This window comes from Homo sapiens, chromosome 17 (genome assembly GCF_000001405.40).
Source record: "Homo sapiens chromosome 17, GRCh38.p14 Primary Assembly".
NCBI lineage: Eukaryota > Metazoa > Chordata > Mammalia > Primates > Hominidae > Homo > Homo sapiens.
Window position 1 is genome coordinate 28,702,944 of NC_000017.11, and position 24,996 is coordinate 28,727,939.

At 55.4% G+C, this 24,996-nt stretch overlaps 4 protein-coding genes and 4 non-coding genes across 50 annotated transcripts, besides 19 other annotated features; 5 read left to right on the forward strand and 3 right to left on the reverse strand.

Moving 5' to 3' along the window:
* Positions 1 to 253: 253 nt before the first annotated feature.
* PROCA1 (protein interacting with cyclin A1) lies at positions 254 to 8,945 on the reverse strand. 15 transcript variants are annotated; one of them, XM_047435474.1, is made up of 6 exons: positions 7,928 to 8,356; positions 4,895 to 4,940; positions 4,104 to 4,495; positions 3,737 to 3,820; positions 1,364 to 1,673; positions 254 to 1,269 (listed from the first exon to the last, which is right to left on the reverse strand). In XM_047435474.1, exons 5-6 carry the CDS (start codon positions 1,501 to 1,503, stop codon positions 615 to 617), a joined length of 795 nt encoding a protein of 264 aa, XP_047291430.1. In that variant the 5' UTR covers positions 1,504 to 1,673; positions 3,737 to 3,820; positions 4,104 to 4,495; positions 4,895 to 4,940; positions 7,928 to 8,356; the 3' UTR covers positions 254 to 614. The 15 variants fall into 15 exon arrangements, with proteins under 15 accessions (XP_047291430.1, XP_006721786.1, NP_001353230.1 ...); XM_006721723.4 differs by lacking the exons at positions 4,104 to 4,495; positions 4,895 to 4,940; positions 7,928 to 8,356 and adding exons at positions 1,765 to 1,900; positions 8,627 to 8,945 and having other exon boundaries at positions 1,373 to 1,492; NM_001366301.1 differs by lacking the exons at positions 4,104 to 4,495; positions 4,895 to 4,940; positions 7,928 to 8,356 and adding exons at positions 1,765 to 1,900; positions 8,627 to 8,945 and having other exon boundaries at positions 1,364 to 1,492.
* Positions 7,610 to 8,385: an enhancer, noted in NCBI's record as "H3K27ac-H3K4me1 hESC enhancer chr17:27037571-27038346 (GRCh37/hg19 assembly coordinates)". NCBI's record gives its function as "activates a minimal SCP1, AML or CMV promoter by ChIP-STARR-seq in naive H9 embryonic stem cells {active_cell/tissue: H9 hESC(naive)}" and the evidence as "EXISTENCE:reporter gene assay evidence [ECO:0000049][PMID:30033119]".
* Positions 7,610 to 9,161: a biological region, named in NCBI's record as "H3K27ac-H3K4me1 hESC enhancers GRCh37_chr17:27037571-27038346 and GRCh37_chr17:27038347-27039122".
* Positions 8,180 to 8,679: a silencer, noted in NCBI's record as "silent region_8348". NCBI's record gives its function as "represses an Ori minimal core promoter by ATAC-STARR-seq in GM12878 lymphoblastoid cells {active_cell/tissue: GM12878}" and the evidence as "EXISTENCE:reporter gene assay evidence [ECO:0000049][PMID:35858748]".
* Positions 8,386 to 9,161: an enhancer, noted in NCBI's record as "H3K27ac-H3K4me1 hESC enhancer chr17:27038347-27039122 (GRCh37/hg19 assembly coordinates)". NCBI's record gives its function as "activates a minimal SCP1, AML or CMV promoter by ChIP-STARR-seq in primed H9 embryonic stem cells {active_cell/tissue: H9 hESC(primed)}" and the evidence as "EXISTENCE:reporter gene assay evidence [ECO:0000049][PMID:30033119]".
* Positions 9,720 to 9,799: an enhancer, noted in NCBI's record as "active region_11936". NCBI's record gives its function as "activates an Ori minimal core promoter by ATAC-STARR-seq in GM12878 lymphoblastoid cells {active_cell/tissue: GM12878}" and the evidence as "EXISTENCE:reporter gene assay evidence [ECO:0000049][PMID:35858748]".
* Positions 11,338 to 15,485, reverse strand: RAB34 (RAB34, member RAS oncogene family). Of its 25 annotated transcripts, none has more exons than XM_047436885.1 (11): positions 15,427 to 15,485; positions 14,270 to 14,348; positions 13,960 to 14,051; positions 13,050 to 13,115; positions 12,857 to 12,958; positions 12,698 to 12,762; positions 12,513 to 12,564; positions 12,276 to 12,333; positions 12,089 to 12,179; positions 11,850 to 11,957; positions 11,338 to 11,767 (listed from the first exon to the last, which is right to left on the reverse strand). In XM_047436885.1, exons 2-11 carry the CDS (start codon positions 14,321 to 14,323, stop codon positions 11,700 to 11,702), a joined length of 756 nt encoding a protein of 251 aa, XP_047292841.1. In that variant the 5' UTR covers positions 14,324 to 14,348; positions 15,427 to 15,485; the 3' UTR covers positions 11,338 to 11,699. The 25 variants fall into 25 exon arrangements, with proteins under 25 accessions (XP_047292841.1, XP_024306752.1, XP_047292839.1 ...); XM_024450984.2 differs by having other exon boundaries at positions 12,252 to 12,333; XM_047436883.1 differs by having other exon boundaries at positions 13,050 to 13,118.
* Positions 14,758 to 15,017: a silencer, noted in NCBI's record as "silent region_8349". NCBI's record gives its function as "represses an Ori minimal core promoter by ATAC-STARR-seq in GM12878 lymphoblastoid cells {active_cell/tissue: GM12878}" and the evidence as "EXISTENCE:reporter gene assay evidence [ECO:0000049][PMID:35858748]".
* Positions 15,698 to 16,298: an enhancer, noted in NCBI's record as "H3K27ac-H3K4me1 hESC enhancer chr17:27045659-27046259 (GRCh37/hg19 assembly coordinates)". NCBI's record gives its function as "activates a minimal SCP1, AML or CMV promoter by ChIP-STARR-seq in primed H9 embryonic stem cells {active_cell/tissue: H9 hESC(primed)}" and the evidence as "EXISTENCE:reporter gene assay evidence [ECO:0000049][PMID:30033119]".
* Positions 16,299 to 16,900: an enhancer, noted in NCBI's record as "NANOG-H3K27ac-H3K4me1 hESC enhancer chr17:27046260-27046861 (GRCh37/hg19 assembly coordinates)". NCBI's record gives its function as "activates a minimal SCP1, AML or CMV promoter by ChIP-STARR-seq in primed H9 embryonic stem cells {active_cell/tissue: H9 hESC(primed)}" and the evidence as "EXISTENCE:reporter gene assay evidence [ECO:0000049][PMID:30033119]".
* Positions 16,557 to 16,606: an enhancer, noted in NCBI's record as "active region_11937". NCBI's record gives its function as "activates an Ori minimal core promoter by ATAC-STARR-seq in GM12878 lymphoblastoid cells {active_cell/tissue: GM12878}" and the evidence as "EXISTENCE:reporter gene assay evidence [ECO:0000049][PMID:35858748]".
* Positions 17,037 to 17,256: an enhancer, noted in NCBI's record as "active region_11938". NCBI's record gives its function as "activates an Ori minimal core promoter by ATAC-STARR-seq in GM12878 lymphoblastoid cells {active_cell/tissue: GM12878}" and the evidence as "EXISTENCE:reporter gene assay evidence [ECO:0000049][PMID:35858748]".
* RPL23A (ribosomal protein L23a) lies at positions 17,042 to 21,416 on the forward strand. The gene is made up of 5 exons (NM_000984.6): positions 17,042 to 17,087; positions 17,764 to 17,947; positions 19,780 to 19,956; positions 20,628 to 20,697; positions 20,924 to 21,416. The coding sequence occupies exons 1-5, from the start codon at positions 17,063 to 17,065 to the stop codon at positions 20,936 to 20,938; spliced, it is 471 nt and encodes a 156-aa protein (NP_000975.2). The 5' UTR covers positions 17,042 to 17,062; the 3' UTR covers positions 20,939 to 21,416.
* Positions 17,597 to 17,756: an enhancer, noted in NCBI's record as "active region_11939". NCBI's record gives its function as "activates an Ori minimal core promoter by ATAC-STARR-seq in GM12878 lymphoblastoid cells {active_cell/tissue: GM12878}" and the evidence as "EXISTENCE:reporter gene assay evidence [ECO:0000049][PMID:35858748]".
* On the forward strand, positions 17,607 to 17,673 carry SNORD42B (small nucleolar RNA, C/D box 42B). Its single transcript, NR_000013.1, has one exon. It is a non-coding gene; the product is annotated as a small nucleolar RNA, C/D box 42B (small nucleolar RNA).
* SNORD4A (small nucleolar RNA, C/D box 4A) lies at positions 19,639 to 19,710 on the forward strand. Its single transcript, NR_000010.1, has one exon. It is a non-coding gene; the product is annotated as a small nucleolar RNA, C/D box 4A (small nucleolar RNA).
* Positions 20,488 to 20,548, forward strand: SNORD42A (small nucleolar RNA, C/D box 42A). The gene has a single exon (NR_000014.2). It is a non-coding gene; the product is annotated as a small nucleolar RNA, C/D box 42A (small nucleolar RNA).
* On the forward strand, positions 20,738 to 20,811 carry SNORD4B (small nucleolar RNA, C/D box 4B). Its single transcript, NR_000009.1, has one exon. It is a non-coding gene; the product is annotated as a small nucleolar RNA, C/D box 4B (small nucleolar RNA).
* Positions 21,329 to 21,428: a silencer, noted in NCBI's record as "silent region_8350". NCBI's record gives its function as "represses an Ori minimal core promoter by ATAC-STARR-seq in GM12878 lymphoblastoid cells {active_cell/tissue: GM12878}" and the evidence as "EXISTENCE:reporter gene assay evidence [ECO:0000049][PMID:35858748]".
* TLCD1 (TLC domain containing 1) lies at positions 21,405 to 24,994 on the reverse strand. 5 transcript variants are annotated; one of them, XM_047435299.1, is made up of 5 exons: positions 23,813 to 23,989; positions 22,538 to 22,620; positions 22,361 to 22,443; positions 21,796 to 21,950; positions 21,405 to 21,710 (listed from the first exon to the last, which is right to left on the reverse strand). In XM_047435299.1, exons 1-5 carry the CDS (start codon positions 23,863 to 23,865, stop codon positions 21,662 to 21,664), a joined length of 423 nt encoding a protein of 140 aa, XP_047291255.1. In that variant the 5' UTR covers positions 23,866 to 23,989; the 3' UTR covers positions 21,405 to 21,661. The 5 variants fall into 5 exon arrangements, with proteins under 5 accessions (XP_047291255.1, XP_011522580.1, XP_006721734.1 ...); XM_011524278.4 differs by lacking the exon at positions 23,813 to 23,989 and adding an exon at positions 22,961 to 23,290; XM_006721671.5 differs by lacking the exon at positions 23,813 to 23,989 and adding an exon at positions 24,876 to 24,994 and having other exon boundaries at positions 21,405 to 21,950.
* Positions 22,102 to 22,825: an enhancer, noted in NCBI's record as "H3K27ac hESC enhancer chr17:27052063-27052786 (GRCh37/hg19 assembly coordinates)". NCBI's record gives its function as "activates a minimal SCP1, AML or CMV promoter by ChIP-STARR-seq in primed H9 embryonic stem cells {active_cell/tissue: H9 hESC(primed)}" and the evidence as "EXISTENCE:reporter gene assay evidence [ECO:0000049][PMID:30033119]".
* Positions 22,189 to 22,488: an enhancer, noted in NCBI's record as "active region_11940". NCBI's record gives its function as "activates an Ori minimal core promoter by ATAC-STARR-seq in GM12878 lymphoblastoid cells {active_cell/tissue: GM12878}" and the evidence as "EXISTENCE:reporter gene assay evidence [ECO:0000049][PMID:35858748]".
* Positions 22,609 to 22,658: an enhancer, noted in NCBI's record as "active region_11941". NCBI's record gives its function as "activates an Ori minimal core promoter by ATAC-STARR-seq in GM12878 lymphoblastoid cells {active_cell/tissue: GM12878}" and the evidence as "EXISTENCE:reporter gene assay evidence [ECO:0000049][PMID:35858748]".
* Positions 22,826 to 23,549: an enhancer, noted in NCBI's record as "H3K27ac hESC enhancer chr17:27052787-27053510 (GRCh37/hg19 assembly coordinates)". NCBI's record gives its function as "activates a minimal SCP1, AML or CMV promoter by ChIP-STARR-seq in primed H9 embryonic stem cells {active_cell/tissue: H9 hESC(primed)}" and the evidence as "EXISTENCE:reporter gene assay evidence [ECO:0000049][PMID:30033119]".
* Positions 22,826 to 23,598: a biological region, named in NCBI's record as "H3K27ac hESC enhancer GRCh37_chr17:27052787-27053510".
* Positions 23,069 to 23,598: a silencer, noted in NCBI's record as "silent region_8351". NCBI's record gives its function as "represses an Ori minimal core promoter by ATAC-STARR-seq in GM12878 lymphoblastoid cells {active_cell/tissue: GM12878}" and the evidence as "EXISTENCE:reporter gene assay evidence [ECO:0000049][PMID:35858748]".
* Positions 23,550 to 24,273: an enhancer, noted in NCBI's record as "H3K27ac-H3K4me1 hESC enhancer chr17:27053511-27054234 (GRCh37/hg19 assembly coordinates)". NCBI's record gives its function as "activates a minimal SCP1, AML or CMV promoter by ChIP-STARR-seq in naive H9 embryonic stem cells {active_cell/tissue: H9 hESC(naive)}" and the evidence as "EXISTENCE:reporter gene assay evidence [ECO:0000049][PMID:30033119]".

The window sequence follows — 24,996 nt, forward strand, 5'->3', positions numbered from 1 at the left end:
TGGGGCTCAGCAGAGAAGTCAGAAAAGGCCACTGCTGCCCAGACGTGGCACACTCCCTCCCCTTGTTTTTCTTCATCAAGATCTGGGGGAAGGGGCCAGCTCTGCCAGGAACTCAAGTCAGCTCCCTTCAGCACAAAAGGGCTACAAGGGAGGAGCTAGACCACCAGCTGGGAAGGTCAGTCTCTGGTAGTACCACGAGCACCTTCTGCAGAGCCACTTAGAGGAGGGAAAGGCCAGGCACAGTGGCACAGAGTGGGTTAAAAAGTTCCGTTTATTGGGGGTATCGCTGCAGACAGTACTGCCTGTCCCAGAAGTGGATTTCACACAGACCAGTCTCTCGCAGCAGAGAGGGGAAGCCCTCCTTCCCACCCCAGATACACTCTTCCACCTTGTCCTAGCAGGTAGGAAGAAATAGGGCTGTGCCCCTTCCTTTCCCTCCCACCTGCCTTCCCATGGGCTTCCTTTGTGAAAGCTGGATTGCCTTTGAGAAACCCCTGCAGCCCTGAGCCCACCCCTTGCCCCGCAAGAAACAGCCAGGTTGGAGGGAGAGAACAGCAGCAGAGGGCCAGCCACAGGCTCGATGGCATTTATTCTGCACCCTGACCACCCTGGCCTCAACTGAGGTTGGGGTTTGATCCTGGGGGAGATTTTCTCTTGTTTACCTTCCTGGCTTGTGAGGGCTTTGCCCCTGTCTTTTTGGCCTGGACTGTGTTCTCTCTCTTCCTGGGCGATGATGATTCCACAATATCCTCGCTGGACAGTTCTCCCTGCCCCCGGCCATTGTAACTGTCCTCGCTCTCCAGCTCTTCCCGGCTTTCTGGGCTGGACTCGGACATCCTGGCCAGCTGTCTTGCGCTTAATGATCGGCTCACGTCTGGCGGGGAAGGCTCCAATTTAACCGGGCTTTTCTTCTTAGTCAACTGGCCTTTCTTGGCTTTTTTCTTCAGCTTTGCCTTCTCATCCATCTCCTCCTTGTCTTTCTCTTTTTCCTTTTTCTTCTTTACCTTCTTGATCACCTTGCTGCCCTGACCCTTCCCTGTGGGGCTCTCAGAGCGCCAGATGGTGATGGGCGCTGTGGAGTCAGGGGTACCAGTGGCCATGCTGGTGCCTAGGTCAGGGGAGGCGGTGGCGGGCCCCACCTGTGTCGGGATGGGGGGCTTGCTTTCCTCCTCCTCCTCTTCCTCTTCTTCATTTAGATCATCTGCCCCACACTCATGGTAGAGTGGATGGTGGATCACTGCCACAGAGACAGGTCTGTAGCTTTTGCACCTGGGAGAAGGGACAACGGGGGAAGTTTGACAGAGAGTGGGGGGCAGTGCCCTGTAGAGGCCCCTTCCCCATCAGCCCACCGGGGCTCACTCACCAGCCATACCGGAATCGCTCCACATGCTCCTCCTCCGGTGTGAGCTCAAAGCAAGGGGACTCGATGACATGGGAGCAGGTTGGGCCCGCGCCCCGGGAGCTGCTGCTATCCTCTGAAGAGTCCTTCAGCCTGCCACACATGGGACTCTCAGCCTGGCTCCCATCACTCCCCCAGGGACCCAGAGCCAGAAGCCTGAGGGACAGTGGGCTTCCGCTGGGCCTGCCTCAGGCCAACAGACCTCCTCCCCATTTCTCTTAGAGCAGAGCAAGGTGTGCAGAGCTGGGACTGGGCTGGCAGCACCAATTCAAAGCTGAAGAGGCAAACCAAAGGTTGAAGGGGAGACCACAATGAAAGTTCGGACCTGGCTCTGCCATGGGTCCCCCAAGGGGGCGGGCCCTCACCTAGAATTACAGTTGCAGTGGTTGACAGAGTGTAGGTGCAGGCTGTGGCGGACACAGTCAGAGGCGAAAGGGTAGATGATGTGCCCAGTGCACTGCTTGTGTCTCCAGCAGCACTTGTCAGGCTCCTTGCAGTCACCTGAGGGGGCAGGAGTCTGGGTCATCAGTAGCAGCCGCAGACCTCTGGGTCTTCCCACAGCTCAAGCTAAAACCTCACCAAATTCACCTGCCACCACCAGCTGTCCACCCCAAGAAGTGTTTCTGCTTCAGTAGTAGTAACTTGGCCGCAGAGTAACCCCATGTCCCAGCAAAGTGTCTGGTTCCATGTCTGATACACAGGAGACCCTTATCAAGCCCCCTGCAGTCCTGTGATTCCCTGTTACTTCTGTCCTCTCCCTCCAGTGGGAGGCCTCCACCAGCTCCTGCCTGCCCCTCAACCAGGTGCTGACAATGAGTGGCAGCCCTGCTCCACAAGGCGCCTGGTAGGAGAAGGCCCTCCTGCTATGGCACCCCACAGCCCCAGGAGCAGCAGAGCCGCAGCATCCTCAGTTCCTACACCTGCCCTGGCCCACGCTGATCTCTCACAGCCTGGCCAGGAGCTAAGGCCTGCATCATGCTCCTTAGCTTCTGACTCGTCCTTCCCTCCCCACTTCCCCCTCCTCCCTTCTCCTTCAAGCCCCTTTTTTTCTCCTGCCTGACACCTTTCTCACTCCCCTCCCTTCCCATGCCCCCTTCTTGATCCTTTCCCTGCTCTTCACTCAGCACCTTCCCACACTCTCCCCAGTCCCTAGAGCCCCAGGCTTTCGAATGACCCACCCCCAGCCTAAGCACCCTTTTAGGCAGCACAGAGACCACATCCCCTTTCCCAGGGCACAGGAAGAAGCTGCTGGGGTGAGAATTTGGGGTTAGGGAAAAGCCCTGGAGAAAGGCCCCCACCTCTGCTGCTCAGCTCAATGCCAGTCCTGAAGACAGGAGTTTCCCCGGTCTACCACCACTGCCTCACCTCTGACACTGCCTAAGGCCCGGCTGTCCCCTCAGGCCTCTATCTCAAAGGTAAGCCCATGAGGCGACTCTGCGCCTCTCACAGCCCAGAATCTCACTCACACGACAAAGGACAAGGGACCTTACCTCGGATTCCCCAGCACTCCTAGGGGAGGGAGGGAGCAGGCACTGGCTTGGGGTGCTGTGGCTGGGTTACCCTCAAACAGGCCGAGGATTGTGCCTTTGCCAGCCCCCACGAGGAGTGGAACTAGGGTGAGACCTCATACCGGCCACCAGCCAGGAATGAGCCCAGGCTGTGGGTGTGAGTCCAAGTGGCCTCACAGTGCAGCAGCTTGGCCTGAGGCTTACCCACATTTCTTCCTCCTTCCCTTCCCCACACAAGGCTGTGAAGTCCTGGGTCCTCACTACACTGCTGACCCATGGGTGATCTGTGTCTCTCTCCTCCCCTCTTGTACCCTTTATCCCCCGGGAAGATGAGGAAGGCATGGGTATGTGGCAGGACCCTGAAACTTCACCACCACCTTGGCCTTCCTCAGCACAGCTGAGCTGGGCCAAAGGGCAGCATAGTGGCAAAGTGCCCTGAACTTGTAGTCAGGCCTAAGCCCAAGTCGTGGGTCTGTCACTTACTAGCCGGGTGGCTTAGGGCAAATTTCTTTACTTCTCTGAGCCTTTAATTTCCTCATCCACAAAATGGGATGGTGGTCATACCAATTTTGCAGGGTTGTTGGGCGGACTCAATTCACATATGTCAAAGATACTTATGTGCCATAAAGTTCTATATAAACGAATGGGGTGATTGCGGCCTTGAGAAAGGGGTCCCCTCTGGCATCTGTAGGGGATGGGTTGAGGATGGGGCAGCTTCAGGACCACACTTCCCTCCCTCCCTGCCTCAGGACCAAGCTTCCACCAGGTGTCAGCTTTCCCAGGTGAGGGGTGATGAGGATCCCCTGGGTCAAAGGTCTCCTGGACCCACCTTCAGAGAAGGTAGACACATCAGTGCTGGACGCCACACCAGCCAGCAGATGTCCTCTCTCCCAGCTGGGTAACCTGTTTACATCTGAGAGAGCATAGAGTGGCAGTGGTGGCAGCAGCCCCCTCCCTGTGCCATTTATTCACCAAACATACCCCGAGAAACTCCACATGTCAGGCCCTCGCTGCATCCTGGAGATGCAGAGATTAAACAACAGTCCCTGCTCTTAAGGGGTTGCGGGGGGGGGGGGGGGGGTGGGGCTATGAGGGGGAGGGGAGAGGGGGAGGGGAGAGGGACACGGGAGGTTCATGACAGTAATGTGATGCAGATGCTGACAGGGAAAGGGTAGCACAGGACAAGGGCCACCTACCAGGACTGGAAAGGAGGACTGGGGACTATGGAAGACTTCTTGGAAGGAGCATCACTAGAGTTAGTGATGAATAGGAGCCAGCCAGGGTCTAGGCAAGGAGGGACAGCTCCAGAAACTGTCCCAGGGTGTGTGGAGCCTGGACAGAGGATGACCCTAAGCAGACCTCCAACTGGGGTGGCAGCTCCCTCAGCCATTAGCAGCCACAAGACAGTCTGCCCCTTTGCCTTTCCTTCCCACAACTAGCTTTATCCCTTGAGGCACTGGACTTGAGGTCTGCTTAAGGAAGGGAAACTGATTGCTTGGGGTCTTCAGCAAGCCTTCAGTGGCACTTGGTCATCCTCCTATAAGTCTCTGGTCAGCTCCTCCTCCTGTTTTCCACAGCACGGCAAGTACTCAAAATTTGTTAAATGAACAAAAGAATGAATGAATGACTTTAAGCACTTCCTGGAAACTCCTGCAACCACTGTTTCTCTCAGCAGATAATTTCACCGCCATTATCTGTGGACACTCCAACCCTCATCAACTTTGCTTGCCTGGGAAAAGGGTGTCCCTCCTTTCTCATGCCCAAAGCATCTATATTTTAGGTCCCAGCCAGAAGTGACACCTTCTCCTTCTTTACTGGCTTCTTTTTTCCCCCCTTACAGGCTATAGACATCATAAAACAAAACACTCTGTCAATCCTGTTTCTCCTACCACTGCATATCCCCCTTTCAATCCAAATTGATTAACTCATTCAGAGGACATATGTTGGGTGGCTTCCCTCGGCACTAGAAAAGAGGCCCAGTCCCTACCTTCAGTGAGCTCAGTGTCTTCACTTCTTTCTTCTCTTCCAGCCACCTGCAACATGGCAGCCATCCACCCCCCAATCTGAATAGCTTTGGCAAAGGCCACCAGCAGTTTCCCAGTAGCCAAATCCAGTGGGCTTCTTATCTCATTTGACCCTGTTTTTTGTTTTGTTTTGTTTTTTGTTTGTTTTGTTTTGAGATTGAGTCTCGCTCTGTCGCCCAGGCTGGAGTGCAGTGGTGGGATCTCGGCTTACTGCACCCTCCGCCTCCCGGGTTCAAGCAATTCTCCTGCCTCAGCCTCCTGAGTAGCTGGGATTACAGGTGCACGCCACCACACCTGGCTAATTTTTGTATTTTTAGTAGAGACGGGGTTTCACCATGTTGGACAGGCTGGTCTCGAACTCCTGACCTTGTGATCCGCCCTCGGCCTCCCAAAGTGTTGGGATTACAGGCGTGAGCCACTGCGCCCGGCCTCACTTGACCCTATTGACCAATGAATCTCCTTCTTCTGCAAACTGTTCCTTGGGCTTCCATGGCAGACCTCATCTTTCTCTTCCTTCTCTAACCAGCTCTTTAGTTCTTCCCTGTCTCCTTTGCTGTCTCCTCTTGTTTTGTTGTATGCCTTAAATTGGTGATTACAAGAGTTCTGACTTGGTCACCTCCTCAGAAGGCTCTACAAAAGCATGTCCTGGATAACTTCATCAACTTCCATGTTTTCAACATCCACCAATGAAATGACATAAATCTGTAATCCCATCATTTTGGGAGTCTGGGCCGGGCACGGTGGCTCACGCCTGTAATCCCAGCTCTCAGAGAGGCAAGAGGCGGGAGGATAGCTTGAGCCCAGGAGTTCGAGACCTGCCTGGGCAATATAGCGAGACCCCGTTCTCCAGAAAAAGGAAAAAAAAAAAAAAACGACATTTTGGGAGTCTGAGGCGGGAAGATCACAAGTCCAGGAGTTCGAGACCAGCCTGGGCAACATGGCAAAACCCCATCTCTACAAAAAATACAAAAATTAGCTGGCTTAGTGGTGCACACCTGTAGTCCCAGCTACTCAGGAGGCTGAGGTGGGAGGATTACCTGAGCCCAGGGAGATCGAGGCCGCAGTGAGCCGTGATCACGCCACTGCATTCCAGCCTGGGCAACAGAGTGAGACCCTGTCTCAACTAAAATATATGCCTTTGATTCTAAATCCCCACCACAGCCCCATTCTATGGATGAGAACACAGAAACTCAGAGAGGATAAGTAATTTGTCCAAACATACATTGTTAATAGACTGTAGAAGTAGGATTCAAACCCAGGTCTTCCTGGTTCCATAGCCTATGCTCTTTCAGCCCTGTCTACTTACTGTTGGCTGGGGACACACCCCTGTAAACAAAGGTCATTCTGTATGTGAAGCTCCACAGCCAAGCCTTTTTTTTTGTTTTGTTTTGTTTTTCTTTTGAGAGAGTCTGGCTGTGTCGCCCAGGCTGGAGTGCAGTGGCGGGATCTTGGCTCACTGCAAGCTCCGCCTCCCGGGTTCACGCCATTCTCCTGCCTCAGCCTCCCGAGGAGCTGGGACTACAGACGCCCACCACCATGCCCGGCTAATTTTATGTATTTTTAGTAGAGACGGGGTTTCACCGTGTTAGCCAGGATGGTCTTGATCTCCTGACCTCGTGATCCGCCCGCCTCAGCCTCCCAAAGTGCTGGGATTACAGGCGTGAGCCACCGCACCCGGCCCATAGCCAAGCCTTAAAACCACATTCTGCTTGAGTGAGCCGGCGAGGCAGAGGTTGCAGTGAGCTGAGAGAGCCACAGCACTCCAGCCTGGGCGACAGAGTGAGATTCTGTCTTATAAAATAAATCACGTTCAGCTCCATATGCAAAACCTGTCCTACCAGGCCGGGTGCAGTGGCTCATGCCTGTAATCTCAGAATTTTGAGAGGCCGAGGTGGGCGGATCACTTGAGGTCCGGAGTTTGAGACCAGCATGGTCAACATGGTGAAATCCCTTCTCTAATAAAAATCCAAAAATCGGCCAGGCATGGTGGCACATACCTGTAGTCCCAGCTGCTCTGGAGGCCAAGGCATGAGAATCGCTTGAACCCCAGAAGTGTAGGTTGCAGTGAGCCGATATCGTGCTACTGCACTCCAGTGTGGGCAGCAGAGTGAGACGGCGGGAAGGACAGGTGTTTTTTTGAGGCACAGTCACTTCCTACTGCACCTGCTTTTCAGCTCCAACACTACCAATTCCTCACCCTCTGGTTTTACTCAATCTGGACTCCACAGCCTCCCTTATCCACCCTGGACCCTAAAGTCATGCCGCTGGGACCTCAGCCAGGGTGAGGAACCAAAACTCCTCTGCCTTGCTGTTTCAGGAGCCACCATGAAAGAGACACACATGGCCAGGCGCGGTGGCTCATGCCTGTAATCCCAGTACTTTGGGAGGCCGAGGTGGGCGGATCACGAGGTCAGGAGTTCAAGACCAGCCTGACCAACATGGTGAAACCCCGTCTCTACTAAAAATAAAAAAAAATAAAAAAAATAGCTGGGCGTGGTGGCGCGCGCCTGTAATCCCAGCTACTCAGGAGGCTGAGGCAGGAGAATTGTTTGAACCCGGGAGGTGGAGTTTGCAGTGAGCCGATATTGCGCCACTGCACTCCAGCCTGGGCGACAGAGCGAGATTCCATCTCAAAAAAAAAAAAAAAAAAAAAAAGCACACATGCAGGGTCAGAGCCTGTTTACTCTCCACTCACTAGCTCCCCCAGAGCTCGGACACCCATCAGCTCTGTTTGTGAAGGAGACGAGGGGAGGAAGGACAAAGGGGGAGACGAATTTAGTAACTCTCTTCAGAGCTGAGAAAAGCAATCTGCTCTTTAGTTCCAGAGGACAGGAGGAGACCTCTGACCAGCAGCAGTCCAGAGTTCCTGCAGCAGGAGTGACTGACAACACACACAATGAATGAGGAGGGTGATAGGGTGAAAGAAAGTGGGAGGCTTATGGCGTCTTTCCCCGTGAGGCGTTAATCGGCGCACAAAGGCCTAACTCAAAACTCACAAGTTATGCTCATCTGTACAGAATCCTCCCCGTCCTGCGGGGCCGAGGAGCTCTCCTCGACCTCGAGGCACTGGGGGTGGGCACCAGAGCAGCCGAAAGGAGTAGGGTGGGAAGGGAGGGAAGGAGTAGGGCGGGAAGGGAGGGAAGAAACTAGGAGAGGAAGGAGGGAAGAGGAGGAAGCAAGGGAGGGGCAGTGCGCCCGCGTCTCCTTGGAAATGCCTCTCTGGCCTCGCCGCCGCGGAGGTAATTGTGATGCCACGGGTGGAACCCTCAGTCTCCTTGGTCCACCCTCAGGGTCGATGGAACCGCCCGCTCCCGCCCCGGCGTCCGGGTGGGCGCTGGTCCACGGGCTCCAGCCAAGGCCGGCGCTTCAAGGGCAGCGGCCTGCGCCCGGTGCCACCCAGTCCGATAGCCGAGCGTTCCAGCTCTGGCTGGAACCAGACTTCCCGCCCATCCCGCGGGCGACCCAGCAGGGCCTCAGGACCCCAGTCCTCAATCATTGGCCCGCGGCTCGACGCGAGCCCGCCCCCGGCCCTAGCTCCGCCCCGGCCCTAGCTCCGCCCCGGCCCAGCACTGGGCCCCGCCTCTCTCGTTGGTTTGCCCGTCTCCCTCGTCGGTTTGCCGGCTTCCCGCGTGCGCCGCTCGGGGTCTGCGAGCCGGGCCGCGCCCTCTGCCCAGCCCCTGCCCCGCCCCTCTTACCGCGGCATCTGCTCTCATCCCACGAGCGGGCCTTGGGCTCGGTCTTTTCCTTAGTCCATCTTTCAATTGTGAGCGTCGTCCTGACCCACATCGCTCTCCGCCCAGGTCTTCGTCTCTACAGGACTCTTGCGTGAAGTCCAACCCTGAGCCTCAGCCCGGCCGAGCCCTCGGCCCAGCCGTGAACTCCAGTCTCGGCTTCGCCCCCGCCTAGCCCCTAACCCCGCCTCATGCTGGCGCAGCCCCCGCCGGCCTCCCCAGCCCGGCTCCAGGCTGCGTAGTCTTCCCAGCTGGGTCTCAGCGTCAGCCGCGTTCTTCATCCGGGGCCTCCGGCGCCTCCCAGGCCCCTCTTTATCTCAGACCTTAACCTTACAGGCCCAGCTCTCACCACCCATCTCTGGTTCCAGCTTGCAGTCCAAACCCCAGATTTTCACCCTGCCTCCAGATCGTAGCCCCAATTCTTAGTGTTACAACGAGCCTTGCCCCCAGCCCCATTCTTAGCCCCGCCCCGGCCATTCTCTAAACCGCACACTCCCGTCCCGCTCCCCGCCCCACCGACCCTTGGGAACCCAGCCGCAGCCCCGCCTCTGCCCGCTGGCGAGAGAGCGAACCCCATCTCTACAAAAAATACAAAAATTAGCTAGTTTAGTGGTGCGCACTTGTAGTCCCAGCTACTCGGGAGGCTGAGATGGGAGGATCCCCTGAGCCCAGGGAGGTCCTGGCGTCGCCATTTCCCCTCCACCTTCCGGGCTTCGAGGTCCCTCCGCCTCTGGTGGAGCCCGGGCTTCCCCTTTCTCCGCCCACAGGCCTCTCCGAAGACCTAACTCCGGGCTGAGGACCTGATGTCGGCTCCCAGCCCCTGCGCCACCCCGCAGCGTTCCCGCCCCTGGCCCCCAGGGGACACCCTATTCTAGAGACAATACTGCCCAATAGAGAGTCGTAAGCTTATCCTGATAGACAATCTGGAGAACAGGGCAGGCTGCATTCATAGGAACCTCATCCCAGTGACACCCCTCACGCCCTCAGGTACAACATACACACTCTGCGCATGCATATATCACACACACACAGAATATACTCACCACACACAGACTAATACAACATGCACACGGAACACAGAACTCCCACACCCGGTGCAGCACAAACACCACACCTGGACTGTGGTGCTGGCTTCACACACATCTGTTAACAGGCAAGGCAAGGGTGAGGAGCCCAGTGCTGCGAGGGAACAGAAATGGAAAAAACAATCACAGGAGAGTGTGAAAAGAAGTTATGGCCATATCGACGACATTCCATGCACCACACCCCTCCATTTCTCTTGGCACCAGCTTCCAAAGCCAGGATGAAGAGGAGGAGAAAGGATGGGGTCCACACCTTGTTTTCTCCACCATCATCCAGGGGCTCTGCTGCTGCTACTATTGCTCTGCCTGATCCCCACCTTCACTTTCCTCCAGACCCAAGTCCGGAGTGGGTAGGGCTGCTGCCCAGACCCTCCTTCCCGTGGTAGCTCTAGAGAGTCTAGGAACTGCGAGGGAGGGGAAGCCAGGAGAAGGGAAGTGTGCAGAAAAACCAACCATCCTGGTGAGAATGGAACCAGGAATGGAACAGACAGAGCACTTGGCAACTGGGAGCCAGAATCTGCCTTCTAACTTGGACACCCCCTTAGCCTCCCAGGATGACACGAGGCCATAAGTCCTCCTTTGTTGACCCAGATGTCTGAGGTGCTTCCAGCTACTCTGGAACTCTGGGTTAGATGTCAACAGGGAGCCAGGGTCTTGGTCACCTTTCTTTCTTATAAAAGTTAATGGCATAAACAACCAAAAAAACAAACAAAAAAAAAAAAGAAAGAAAAGTTAATGGTTATAACTCCTGAGTTCAAGCAATTCTCCTGCCTCATCCTCCCAAGTAGCTGGAGTTACAGGCATGCACCACCACGCCCGGCTAATTTTTGTATTTTATTTTATTTATTTTTTTTTATGAGACAGAGTCTCGCTCTGTCACCCAGGCTGGAGTGCAGTGGTGCCATCTCGGCTCACTGCAAGCTCCGCCTGCCAGGTTCAGGCCATTCTCCTGCCTCAGCCTCCCAAGTAGCTGGGACTACAGGCACCAGCCACCACGCCTGGCTAATTTTTTGCATTTTTAGTTTCACCATGTTAGCCAGGATGGTCTCTATCTCCTGACCTCGTGATCCGCCCGCCTCAGCCTCCCAAAGTGCTGGGATTACAGGCATGAGCCACCGCGCCCGGCCTAATTTTTGGATTTTAATGGTGACGCGGGTTTCACCATGTTGGCCAGGCTGGTCTCGAACTCCTGAATCCAAGTGATCTGCCTGCCTTGGCCTCCCAAAGTGCTGAGATTACAGGCACGAGCCACCGCACCCTGCCTGGAAAAGTACTTCTTAAAGGGAAGGCAAGAAAAGGGTGAAAAAAAGAAAAAGATTCTCCAGTGGTGAAAATTTGGGTATAAGCACCAAGTAGGAGGACACGTGTGGGGAAAGGATCAGGGGAAAGGGCTCTCAAAGCCAGCCATTCAGACTTCACCCAGTGAGGGCCCAGTGCAGCCCCCAAACTGATGTTTCAGCTCCCAGCCTACCTGAACCTGCCCAGGGGCCAGGGATGGCCAGCACAGCATCCCCAGGGGACTCTAGTGCCAAAATGGCCACACAGTCATGCCCATTCCACATCCATCATCCCCAACAAAGAACTCCAGCCCCAAAGTGCTCGTAACAAAGAAATTTTAATGCATAAGGCACAGTGAGAGGCTGGAATCATTAAGCATCCTCAAACACAAAGGGCCCAGCAGGCTGAGCAAAAGAACAGAGACACTCTCCCTCACTACCACTGGGCGCCCTGGACAGTCCCCTGAGGAGTAGGGGGCATCCAGTCTTTGGCACGGTGCCTGGGGGCAGGAAGTGACTAGCATGATCCCAGCTACCCCTCTGTGGGAATACTGCCACCAAGAGGCAGCTCTTTGGTCTGGATAAAGTCAGTGCAAATGTCCAGGGGTCAAGCTCTGGAGGAATGAGGGTGGCACAGTGCCCTAGGGCTGGGCAGTCTCTGAACAGTCTCCTCAGCCCTCATGGGCAACATGTGGGCTTCTTCTTGCTGGCAGTTAGGTAGAGGTTGCTGTCATCACTGTTGATGCCTAAAGAAGGGTGGAAAATATGTGAAGCAGGGATTGGAGGCTCACTGTGCCCTCTGCCACCCTCAACCAGGCAAGCACTCACGGACAACATCCCCAATGCGTCGAGCCCCCGATTTCTCCAGCTCAGCCAGCACATTGGCCTCAAAGGTCAGTGCTGCCACACGGAAGAAGAATTCTCGGACATTCTCACCTGACACAGAGAGCAGATAGGTGCTCAGGGGCAGTGCTGGGTCTGGGGACACAGGGCACAGCTGGAGGTGTAGCAGTGAGAGGAGAGCCAGGCAAGAGTGTCACAGCAGAGCCCTAAAGCCTCCAACTCACCAGTGAGAGATGAGACTGCCCAGTACTCAGCCTTCATCTCCTGGGCCACCTGGAGGGCGTCTTTCTCCATCAGCGCATACTGAGCAGGGGTCTGAGGGAAGGCCAGAGTCAGAGGGGGGCATTCCCTCACCAAGCTGGGAAGTCCCCCCACTGGCACACTCACACTCAGATCCTTCTTGGAACCTACAAGGAAGAGAAGCACACTGGAAGGGTCATTCTCCTTCAGGGCATCGGCCAGCCACTGCCTGCCATGGGAGGTGGAAAGTAAGGGATGAGTGAGTCTGCAGGGCCCCTCCCACTGACATTCATAGGCCCAATTACCCCCTCTCTGGTCCTACATGCATTCTTCTTCTTCCTGACCACCCCTCTGTTCTGAACCCTCTCTTCCCGGAGCCTCCCATTATATTGCAGGATGCTCACTTACTTGGTATGTTCCAGAGATGCCACATCATTCAGGTTGAAGACAATGATGATGGCTGGAAGAGTGGCAGAAACAGCCCCAGGTTGACAGGGAAGACACTACTGCTCATTTCCCCAATCCTTCCAGCTCCATATGAGAAGCCATGTGCACTCTGAGACCCACCTACCCCACTTCACCCAGCCCCTTACCTTGAGCTCCTCTATAGTAGGTTGATGCAATGCATTTGAACCTCTCCTGCCCAGCGGTATCCCAACTGGAAGGAAGGAAGAGTGAAGCACAGGTATGTATCTTGGGGGGTGTGGGTGCTGGGGAGAAGGGATAGCTGGAAGGGGTGTGGAAGCACTCACAGCTGCAAACTGAAGGGAATGCCCAGCACCTCAAATCGTTCCATCTCGAAGTCCACTCCAATGGTGGCCTTGTAATTCTTATCAAAGGTGTCTTTGCAGAACCTGAGAGGGTACCAGATGCTGTGATCTGGAGCCAGCCCACCTGGCTAGGCTTGGCCCCACCCTGCCCAGCTCAGCTCCAGCACCCCCTTACCTATTAATGAGGCAAGTCTTCCCCACCGACAGGTCCCCCACCACAATGACCTTGGAGATCTTAAATCTGCTGGACACAAGAGTGGGCAAGGGGAGTGGGCACGAGCTCTTTCACCCTAGGGAGTTCCAATGCTCCCGACTAGGTCCAGAAAGGTAGCTGCACCCAGGCTGAGGGTATTATAGACACCAGGCATCCCAGGCAGCTGCGTGGACAGGTGTGCTGGGGAGGAGGAGTGTTTTGTGCTCCAGAAGCAGAGAGACATGAATTTGAATCCCAGCTCTCACACTGATTAGCTGTGTGACTTTGGACACGTTATTTAGCCTCTCTAAGCCTCAGTTTAAACATTTAAGTAAAGTTAGTATATATTTTACTGGGTCGTTGTGAAGGTTAAAATGAGATAAATGTCCTATATTCTAAGACACCCTCCCCCCCGCATTTTAATGTCTGAAATCAGGATATATCTTAAGTGATGGACTTTTCCATTCAATAAAGATGATAGTACCCAACACTGCCTGGCACACAGCAAATGCTTAATTAATGGTGCCAACTGTTATCAGTATTACCTTTAAAACCCACAATAAGACTCATCCCTGTAAGCACAGCCAGACCCCTGCCCTGGGGCTCCATGGATGCTATGTGGGGATCTGAGCAGGTGACCACCTTCCCATTTCAGACACCTTAGTCTCTACTCAGAAATCCAGCTGCCACCCTTCTACCCAACCCCATCTCATAGAACTCACAACAACCTTGTTGGGAGAAAAGGAGGGGATACAGGGGCTTAAAGAGGGGGAAATAACCATATAGCTGGTAGGGGCTGAAATGAAGCCCCAAGGGGGTGGTTGTTTACCCTCGCTATGACTACAGAGTTTCCTGGGACCTCCTCTCTTTGTTGTGGGTGTCCCTAACTCACCCCACGGTGCCTGTCCGGTGCTCCTGGCAGGCGCAGGTGACGCGGGGGTGGAAGTCTTTGTGCCCGTGCAAAGCGGCCTCCTTCCTCAGGCACTTAGTGGGAAGGATGGAAGAGAATGGAGCTTCCTACTCCTGGCCCTTGTCCCGCAGCCAAGCGGCCCGGGTAGGGGTGGAGTGCAGGGACCACCCAGAAGCACCAGGCCTAGCTGGGTGGCAGGGCTGGGCCCAGTCCTCTAACTGGTCTGGTGCCGCCTCCTCCTCGCCCACACCCCGGGCTGTAGACTGAAGCCCGACGTGGCCCCGGCGCCTACCTGGGGCAGCTCCGCCAGGACGCGATCCCTCCGCACGGGTGCCAGAATGTTCATCCTGCCTGCGGCCTTGCAGGGCGCCCTGAGAAGGCGCCGAGGCCGGATCCGCGTCAGCGACCCGGGCGCGTGGAGACCCGACGATCACCCGCGGCCGGGGTGTCCCGACTACAACTCGGGGCCACGGGGACCCTACGGGAGTCCGCGGTCTCGGAGACGCTACGACCACCGCGGGCCACGGAGATGAAACAATCACCCGGGGCCGCGGCGAGCCCAAAATCACCCGGGCCCTGGGCGTCCCGAAGATGACTCTGGGGCGAGGAGACTCTTCGGCCGCCAATTGGGGGCGGGGAGTCCCGTCTGGTGGGGGCCGGGCCCGCGCAGACCCTACGATTACGCGGGGCCGGATAGTTCCTACGATTACGCGGGGCCGGATGGTTCCTACAATAACCCGGGGCCGCGGAGACCCGACGTCATCTCGGGGCTGAGGCTGCCCTACCATTACAGAGCGGCCCGGGGGCGCGGAGCGGCCCCGCCACACGGGGTCAGTGTGGGCAGGGGCGGCGCTGCCAAGGCCCGCAGGCCGCTGGAGGAGGGGGCGAGGGGCCCAGTCCGGCTACAGGGCCTCGAGTCCCACTCCGCTCGGGCTCCGCCAACGCTGTAACACGATCCCCGGAAATTCCTGGAGAAGGGCCGCCCCCCGCCCCTCTCCTGGCGGCTCCAGGCCTCGCTGCCCGCCCTCGCCACCCCCTCCTCTCCACCCTTCTGCGTTGCCCCGCTCAGGCTCCCTCTTTTGACGCTTCACCGGGCACCAGGACCGCCCCGACCCAGGCTGGAGCCTATCCAGATAGGGACTCCCCAGGCTGCTCTCCCCTGCACCTCTATACCCGGCTGCGCCTTCATGGGGACCCTTACCCAGCCGAATTGGTGATGGGGAATCGGAGACTGCTGCGCAGCATCTGGCGATGCCAGGAACCAGCAGGGAGGGGAAAGGGGGAGAGAAGGGGCCCAAGGAGAGGCGGCGCTTCCCTCCTCAACTCCAGGCCTGGGAGGTGACTCATAGAGTCTGCCCCCTCTCGCCCTTCTGCCCTGGGAGGTCGGGGGTGAGGATGGTGGAGGGGAAGCGTGCGAAGGGGGTGCCAGGGTTAGAATGAGGTGCCCACCGAGGAGAGAGACGTCTGAAGTCTGGCGTCTTTTCCTTCAAGGCTGCTGTGTAGATTGTGAGGTGGGAGGGCTGAAGATCAAGTTCCCTCGAGGGAGGTTAAAGAAGGGCTAAGTGGACCCGGAAACTCTGCTCTTCGGGGTGGTCTCCGCTCTGGGAGGCGGGGACTCCCCTCTGGTATGGGTGTTCATTGTTCTGGCCCCATTGGAATCTATCCCCCAGGGACAACTCCTTTGTGCAAAGTCCTGCAGGATAGAAGAGGGGGCAGTGCACAATCAATTTCACCGTCAAAGGGGACATGTCTGGTTTTATGAAGGGAGAGGGAAGAAGAAAGGATCAAGTGGGGATGGGTTAGGCACACACCTTAGGAGAAGCGAACCTGAGTGTTAAGAAACCTTTCTCTGTGTCTGGAGCTGAATTTGAGGATGTAAAGATGACCAGGACACGGAAGGGAAGACTAGTTTAGGGCAGGGGATTGTGAGTGAAGTTACTAACCGGAAAAACTAGCGAATCTTGGAGAAATGTGTGGAATTTTCATAGAACTTCAAATGCATTATCAGGAAACGCAGTAAAACTTGACAGTATCAGTGTCGCAGGTAAAGAGGGGCAGGTGTGGCCGCCTTGTACTTCCTCTGACACTTCCCCCTCGTGACTCGATTATTTATTTATTTATTTATTTATTTATTTTGAGACAGGGTCTCACTCTGCCACCCAGGCTGGAATGGCTCATTGCAGCCTCGACCTCCAGGGCTGAAGCGATCCTCCCACCTCAGCCTCCCAAGGAACTGGGACTACAGGCACGCACCACCACGCCCGGCTAATTTTTGTATTCTTTTGTAGAGACAGGGTTTCGCCGTGTTGCCCAGGGTGGTCTCGAACTCCTGGGCTCGAAGCAATTCGTCCACCTCGGCCTCACAAAGTGCTGGGATTACAGGCGTGAGTCACCGCGCCCGGCCCTGACTTGATTTTTTTCTGCCACCAAATCACTGTGTTATTGATAAACCACATTCCTCTCTGGACCTCAGTTCGACCGAGCAAATCCTGCTCCAGCACTCTAGAACTTAGCTGTATCTAACTCCCGAGTCAATCCAAATGTGTTCTTTCCTCTTGGCAGCGTTCCTGCCTCCTGGCATGGCAATCCTCTTCCCTGAGACTGGCAGTTGCTCAAGATAGGAAGCTCCCGGGACCAGACCCGAGCGCCAGCCGGCTACGCCGTCCGCTGGCCTGAGCAAATAAACGCGTGTCTTCAAAAAACTACAATCCCCATGGTGGCACGCGCCTGTAGTCCCAGCTACTCTGGTGGCTGAGGCAGGAGAATGGCGTAAACCCGGGAGGCGGAGCTTACAGTGAGCCGAGATCGCGCCACTGCACTCCAGCCTGGGCGACAGAGCGCTCAAAAAAAAAACAAAAAACAAAAAACAAAAAACTACAACCCCCATGAAGCTTTAGTGCCTTTGAGGGGAGGAGTGGCGCATGTTTGTTCACGCACGAAAAAGAAATTAAACCTAACTACCGTTCCCAGAGGGCGCCGCTCTGCAAATTACCCAATCAGCTCTAAGTACAAAGCATCGCGAGTCTTTAGTGCTCTTTGGCGCTATAAGCCCGTGGGAACGAGCATTGGAGACCCTTTTCACAAGATGGCGCCGAAAGCGAAGAAGGAAGGTGTGTGTTGGTGATGGGGCCGCAGCTGGTTTACCGGGGATTGCCGCGCCGCAGAGCGAACGAATTGGGAACACGGCTGCTGGGCTAAGCCCTGAGGGCTCTGCTCCGGGGCTGCTCCCTGCGTTTCGGACACGCTGCAGTATACGTGGGCCGCGTGGGCCCAGCCTCGTGGGCTGAGTTCCGGTAGAGGGAGTTGGGGGGGGGCAACGCGGCAGGCATCATCCGCCAGGGAGGGCCAGACATTCGGTTCTGGGAAGCTACATGCATCCACTGGTTGGAGCTCCATGTCCCCGGGCCTGTAAGGAATTAGTGCCCTCAGCTTTAACCATTTTCCTTCTGGTTCATGTTCAACCGGGCTACATTACCCGCCCCTCTCTCCGCAGCGTGGTTTTGCGATGGGGTATGTGTAAAATTCGTAGGACATTTTCTGGAAAGTATCAAGCGTTCATTCAGTGCTACTTTGTTTCATAGTCGTATCCCTGGAGTTACTTAGAGTTGGTCGCTTTCGCCTCTGGTATCGTGCATATGATGGAAAAGTTTTAATCTCCTGACACTTGTGATGTCTTCAAAGGAACCACTGATGCACCTGTGGCCAGGGTGGCCCACTGCAGTTCTTGGGGCCGGAAGTGACCGATTTCTAAATCCCGCACCCACGTTTTCTTTCCTTTTCTCCCAGCTCCTGCCCCTCCTAAAGCTGAAGCCAAAGCGAAGGCTTTAAAGGCCAAGAAGGCAGTGTTGAAAGGTGTCCACAGCCACAAAAAGAAGAAGATCCGCACGTCACCCACCTTCCGGCGGCCGAAGACACTGCGACTCCGGAGACAGCCCAAATATCCTCGGAAGAGCGCTCCCAGGAGAAACAAGTCAGTACTGCCCCCTGTACCCATGAAAAGATTTGGGTATTCTCCATTGGTAATTTGGAAATTCACTCACTCTGCGTGATGGTTTCTCAAACGCAAATTGTGTCCAGTGTGCTTCTCTAATTGGAAGTATGAGGAGATTGTTTCTGCTGCATTTACAAAACTGGCAGGATCAGCCCAGAGGCCGGGCGCGGTGGCTCACGTCTGTAATCCCAGCACTTTGGGAGGCCGAGGGGGGGCGGATCACTTGAGGTCAGGGGTTCGAGACCAGCCTGAGTGACATGGAGAAACCCCGCGTCTATTAAAAATAGAAAATTCGCCGGGCATGGTGGCGCATGTCTGTAATCCCAGCTACTCGCGGGAGGCTGAGGCAGGAGAATCGCTTGAACCCGGGAGGTGGAGGTTGCGGTGAGCGGAGATCGTACCATTGCATTCCAGCCTGGGCAATAAGAGTGAAACTCTGTCTCAAAAAAAAAAAAACCCTGAGTCTCTCAAAATTTGTTAGGTTAATTATTGCTTCACATGTGGTCACGGTTTGAAAACTTATTTTGGGGGGAGTATAAAGTAGAATACAGAGATTCCTTGCTCATAGCTCCTACTGCTATCGGGAACAATCCTTGAGGGTGAGAACGTGGATTGATTCTTGATTGATAGTGGGGATTCCATTATCTGTATTTGGCAGTTATGGCCTGCTGCGGTGTATAGAAGCTTCTTTCCATTCATTTTCCCGAATTTTCATACTGCTCAAGGAACAGTTGGGGGGGAATGGGCAGAAGGTTGGGCACTTGAGTATTTGAGCTATCGGTAATAACTGACTTTTTAGGGAGCACAGATTTGAGTAGAGCCATGGTAGTAGTTAGTACCAATGGGTTTTTGCTGCTTCTACTCTTTCTTAACAGAAAAAGTGGATTGTGTTCATATAGGAAAGCAGTTCACAGACTGTCTTCCTGCCCCTCCCGCCACCAAGCTGGACCTAGAATCAAGTGTGACTTTAAATGGGGAAAGCTGTGTTACAGTTGTGCTTAAGCCACTGCTGTGGCTTAACCTCACCTATGCATAAGAATTTGCTCGTGGCTGGCCGGGCGCGGTGGCTCGAGCCTGTAATCCCAGCACTTTGGGAGGCTGAGGCGGGCGGATCACGAGGTCAGGAGATTGAGACCATCGTGGCTAACACGGTGAAACCCCGTCTCTACTAAAAATACAAAAAAAATTAGCCGGGCGTGGTGGCAGGCGCCGCTAGTCCCACTACTGAGTCCCAGGCTGAAGCAGGAGAATGGTGTGAACCCAGGAGGCGGAGCTTGCAGCGAGCCGAGATCCTGTCACTGCACTCCAGCCTGGGCGAAGCGAGACTCTGTCTCAAAAAAAAAAAAAAAAAAGGAATTTGCCCCTGGCCCGATTCTCCTGCCTCAGCCTCTTGAGTAGCTCGGACTACAGGCGTGCACCACCATGACCAGCTAATTTTTGTATTTTTAGTTGAGAGGGAGTTTCACCATGTTGGCCAGGATGGTCACGATCTCTTGACCTCGTGATCAGCCTGCCTCAGCCTCCCAAAGTGCTGGGAATACAGCCATGAGCCAGCACACCTGGCCCAGAGATGATTCTTTAATCACTTGAGGTTGTAAGAGCCCTTCAAGAGAAAGAAAATGCACAACGTTCTGCCCCTGGGATTGGGGCTTCAGGCCCTTAGATTTCAGGGTGCAGATGATGACACTGTAAAGCGACCAAAGTCTGAACAAAGTGATTGGTACCTCGTTGTCTGATGCACCTAGGCTCTCCTGGCTCTGGGCTCCAAAAGAATGGGCCCAGGCCAGGTGACCCCATTTTGCCTCTCCCAGGCTTGACCACTATGCTATCATCAAGTTTCCGCTGACCACTGAGTCTGCCATGAAGAAGATAGAAGACAACAACACACTTGTGTTCATTGTGGATGTTAAAGCCAACAAGCACCAGATTAAACAGGCTGTGAAGAAGCTGTATGACATTGATGTGGCCAAGGTCAACACCCTGATTCGGTGAGTTGGGCCTCAAGGGATGGGGAGCAGGCTGGACCAGCAGTCTGGAGCCAAAAAAACCTGCATTCCATGAAGCTTTTTGATGTTTAGGTAGTCCTGGTAATGCAGGACTACACGTGTAGTCCGAGCTATGCAGGAGGATCTCTTGAGGCCAGGAATCACCCATGATTGCCCCATTGTACTCCAGCCTGAGCAACCAAGCAAGGCCCTTTTTAAAAAAAAAAAAAAAAAAAATCCCCTGGACCTTTCAGCAGGGGAAAAAGGTTCCTTGACTTAAACTTGGTGTAGGTTTAGCAGTGTGTGTGAGCCTTGAGGCAGGAATTACAGGCTGCTTTAGTTACAGACCTTTGTGTGGACCTGAGGCTTTCTAGGACTTGATTGGGGGTTGGTCCTCATTTTCTGGGTCCCTACTTCTATTGGGAAAGGCAACTAGAGTGCGACACGTGGCAGATTACCTTGGTTTAAGTCTTAATGTGGCCTGTGGTGTTTCCCATAAGAGAATTGGCTTTGTGGCTTCATGGTGTCCTCTGGGCTAATGATGGAAAAATCATTATTGGAAAAGAATGACATGAACAAAGGAACCACTGAAGTGCCGGAGGACTGGAGGAGGAAGGGGGAGGGTGTGGGGGCAGTGAGGGTGGCAGGGACTAAGGCTTCCTTCTCTACCCTAGGCCTGATGGAGAGAAGAAGGCATATGTTCGACTGGCTCCTGATTACGATGCTTTGGATGTTGCCAACAAAGTAAGTTTCCTTCCTACAAACCCCTTAATGCTCACCCCTTGGGTGCAAATGATGCATATGTTAGCGACCAAAGCCTGATCTTTGCTGATTAGTCATAATTAACTGACTGCACCCCTATCCTTGACAAACCTTATCCTCACATTCCTCATTTTGCTTTCTAAAAATAACATTCCAGCTTAATCTTCATATTTCAACTCCAGTAACGAGGCTCCCTTTTGTTTTTCAGATTGGGATCATCTAAACTGAGTCCAGCTGCCTAATTCTGAATATATATATATATATATCTTTTCACCATATACATGCCTGTCTGTCAATTTCTGGTTGGGCTGGGAGGCCACACACACACACTGACATGACAGGGCTTGGGCAAGACTCCTGTTCTACTTATCCTTTTGAAATACCTCACCCTGCCACTCCACCATGTATGATCATTCCAGAGATCTTTGTGACTAGAGTTAGTGTCCTAGGAAAACCAGAACTCAGAACTTGCCTCCATGGTTGAGTAACAAGCTGTACAAGAACCCCTTTTATCCCTGGAAGAGGCTGTGTATGAAACCAATGCCCAGGGTTTGAAGGGTGTTAGCATCCATTTCAGGGGAGTGTGGATTGGCTGGCTCTCTGGTAGCATTTTGTCCTCACACACCCATCTACTATGTCCAACCGGTCTGTCTGCTTCCCTCACCCCTTGCCCAATAAAGGACAAGGACTTCAGAGGAGTACTTTCATTAGTGTTTTCAATAGTGTGGGCGCAGGCTCAGAAGGTGGAGAGGCTGGCCTCAGAGGACACCCAGGCTTGGGGCTAAGTCCCAGTGTCCATATGAAGCTGTTTCTGGCCTTGTCCGTTTTTGTTGTCCCAGGCTCTGTGCCCCTCACTCAGTCAAGAACTTGTCTTTGTGTTGCTTCTTGGGGACATGCTCAGGGCAGAAGTCAGAGCGGAGGAGGCGGGAAAAGTAGATTATGATCATCACGTCCAGCATGAGCAGGATACCCAGCAGGAAGGTGCCCAGGGTCCTCTGGTTCACATAACGCAAGAAGAAATGGGTGAGGTAGGCCTGAGGGGCCAGGCGGAAGAGAAAGTACATGACCAGGTTCACATACTTGTTAACCCGGTAGAGGAGATGATCCTGGGCATTACTGATTTTCATCATCATGCGAATGGTGAGGAAGATGTTGCTGACTTCCACCAGTAGTGTTAAGACACCCCCACCGACAAAGCTGCTCCAAAAGATGCCGGAGAAGAAGGCACCCATGGCCTAGAGGGAAGAAAGAATAGGAGTTAGGGAACCCAGATGCAGACGCTTTCCTGGAAGTTTGGGGGGTGTGGCTATCAGATTGAGGGCTGGAAAATCCCAAATTTCCCCCTGGAATAATAGTTTATAGTGGGTAAGATGCTTTGTTTTGTTAGTTCAACATTACTAGATTTTGATTGCTGCTCACAGCTGGCTGTGGGTGATGTTCAGTCTAAAGAGGCAGTGAAACCATGGGTTGCTGGCCTCAGTGAACAAGTACAGACTGCCAACCTCCAGCATCCTAGCATAAGAAGTAGCACACAGGTCGGGGGTGGGTGGTAAGAAAACACGGCCTTCTCCCAGATTCAGAAAGACGGAGCTGAGACTAGATTACTGACACCAGGCCTATACCACATAGTCTGCTTCTCTCTTACCATGACGTGATGGACAAGGTATTCCCAAGAGGCTCGCGTCTGTCCGCTAGCCACGATGTCCACCGTATCGTGGATGAAATACCCTAGTGGAGGGATGGGGCAAGAGATCATGAACTGAACAAGCAGCTTCCTTCTCCCTGTCCCCAATTTGCCTCCCGCTTCCTGGGCAAGACCTACCCGCAGAGAAGCAAACGAGCAAATAGCCAGAAAGTGACCACGCCGTCTCAATCTCCACTAACATGTCAGGAGTCTGCCATACACTGGAAAGGAGGGAAGAGGAGGCTCTGCATTTCGGCACCCTCAAGGACCATCAACTTCTCGGTTACCCTTCGCAGCCCCGGGGGATCCTGGGCTCGCGCTAGTGGCTGACTGGGAAGCTAAGAGTGGCTGGGCAAAACCCAAGAGCCTCCAGTTTCCCAGGGGCGATCCCCCTCCCCTGGGGCCACTGCGGCTTTTGGTTGGATAGGATACCAAACGGGATCAGGTGAGACTGCGTGGCCTCAGCCCGCCAGTGAGCGATGGGGGTAGTAACACAAGAGCCGGCCCCGGCTCCCCGCTCAGGATCCCCTGGCCACCTCATTTCCACAGTCGCTCACTCACCACAGCAGTGCCCAGATCCCCGACACAATGGAGTGAGCGAAGGAGACGAGCAGGTTGTGCCAGCGCCAGGTGCGCAGGGGGTCGGCGCGCACGTGCACGGGTAGGGGCAGGCGACAGAGCGCGCGCCGGAGCGCCCGGAAGGTCAGCGTGGCGCCCAGGAGCAGCGGCAGGGCGGGGTGCAGCAGTCGGGGCATGCTGGCCCTCCCTGCCGTCCGCCCTCGAGGCCGCCTCCTAGGTCTGTTCTGGGAACCGGGATCCCTCTCGGGCCAGTCCAGGCCGGCCGCCTCTCCCGCCGGCCGCCAGCCCCACACAGTTGGCGAAGCCCTCTAGGCCCCTTGGCTCCTCCTCGCCCTCCCTGCGAGGCCTCTGCCCCCGCCCCCAGCCGCCCGCGCCCCCGCCCCGCCCGCCTGCCCCCGCCCCGTCCGCCTGCCCCCGCCCCTCAGGCGCTGCTGCCGCGCGAGCCGGGTGTCCCCGTGGCCTCTCGGCCACCGGCCGGCTCCCGCGGACTTCGGGTAACTAGGAGCTGTGCTGGGGGCGTCGTCGCCGAGACACCCCTCGCTGGCGCCTCCCGACTGCCGACGGAGTCCCCGCTGCCCTCGCTCGCCTGGCCTCATTAACCCGCGTCCCCACTTTTCCCCGGGCCACCGGCTACCCCGCCCTGGGCGGGTACCGCGAGAGCTCTCTCCGCCCTCTACTTTCTGCGCAGAGCTGGACGGGACCCGACACGCCCACGCCCCCTAAGTCCTGGTCCTGGGGTGGGCTCCGGAGCCCCGCGTCCGACAGTGGTCTCCGTGCAGACCCAGTGCCCCTACCGCACCACTCGCAGTCTTCTGGCCGGAGTCCCGTGTTTACCTGTCCCTCCCGCGCCCGCGAGGTGGGCACTTGGGAACTGCTGAGTAACCCATCGCCACCTCTTCCCGCCGGCTCTTAAACTCCTGGGGCCGGGCGGCTGTCACAGTCCTCCCTCAGACAGTCCCGGCCCTCGGCCCGGCTCCCCGGAGGCTGGGCAAGCAAGACCTCCGATTTGCCGGGACAGCTGGAGTGACCCGCGCTCTCCAAGCCGGTAGCTTGCAGCAGTTGCGGCTCCTAGCCACTAGGTGTCAGCCTGCCCTCACTGTGGCGCGGGCTCCCCCTCCCGCCTCCGAGCGAGGCAGCTGCTTTCGGGGAGAGTTTAGGTATAAACTCTGGGCGAAAGGAGGAGCAGCTGAGAGCCAGCGAGGGAAGTTAAGCGGAGATGAGAGCGGGGAGGGAGAAGAGGGTAGTAATAGAGGAGGGGCGGGAAGAAGCGGGGGAGGGGAAAGGTGCTGCGGGCGGGAGGAAGAAGCCGAGAAAACCTGAGGCGCAAGGACCCAGGGACCAAGCCGTTTGAGTGTTTTCCTCCCCTATGGCTCCAAGGTTACACATTAACCCCTGTGGGACTCTTAAGTCAACCAAAGCCCAGTCGGTTTCTAGGTGAGAACACGGGTGTCCTGGGTGAGCGGCTTTCCCGCCCCTCCCCTTGGCTCACAGAGCTGCTCTGTCCGCCGGCCGACACCGGCCTGAGCCAGCGCCCTTCCAGCAGTCATTCCACGTGGGTGGGTTTGGATACCCTTGCGAGAGCCAGGACAGGGGCAGAAGATAAAACGCCCCTTTCCTCACACCCCTTGCCCACTCTGATACAGGGACGCTAACCTTCAGCTAGTGACCATCCTCCTCCTGAATACTGATGTTTTCTTTCTTTCTTTTTTTTTTTTTGAGATGGAGGCTCACTCTATCGCCCAGGCTGGAGTGCAATGGCACGATCTCGGCTCACTGCAACCTCCGCCTCCCAGATTCAAGCGATTCTCCTGCCTCAGCCTCCCGAGTAGCTGGGATTACAAGCGCGCGCCACCGTGCCCAACTAATTTTTGTATTTTTAGTAGAGACGAGGTTTTACCATGTTGGCCAGGTTGGTCTCAAACTCCTGACCTCAGGTGATCCGCCCGCCTCGGCCTCCCCAAAGTGCTGGAATTACAGGCGTGAGCCACCGCGCCTGGCCGAATACTGAGTTTTTCTAG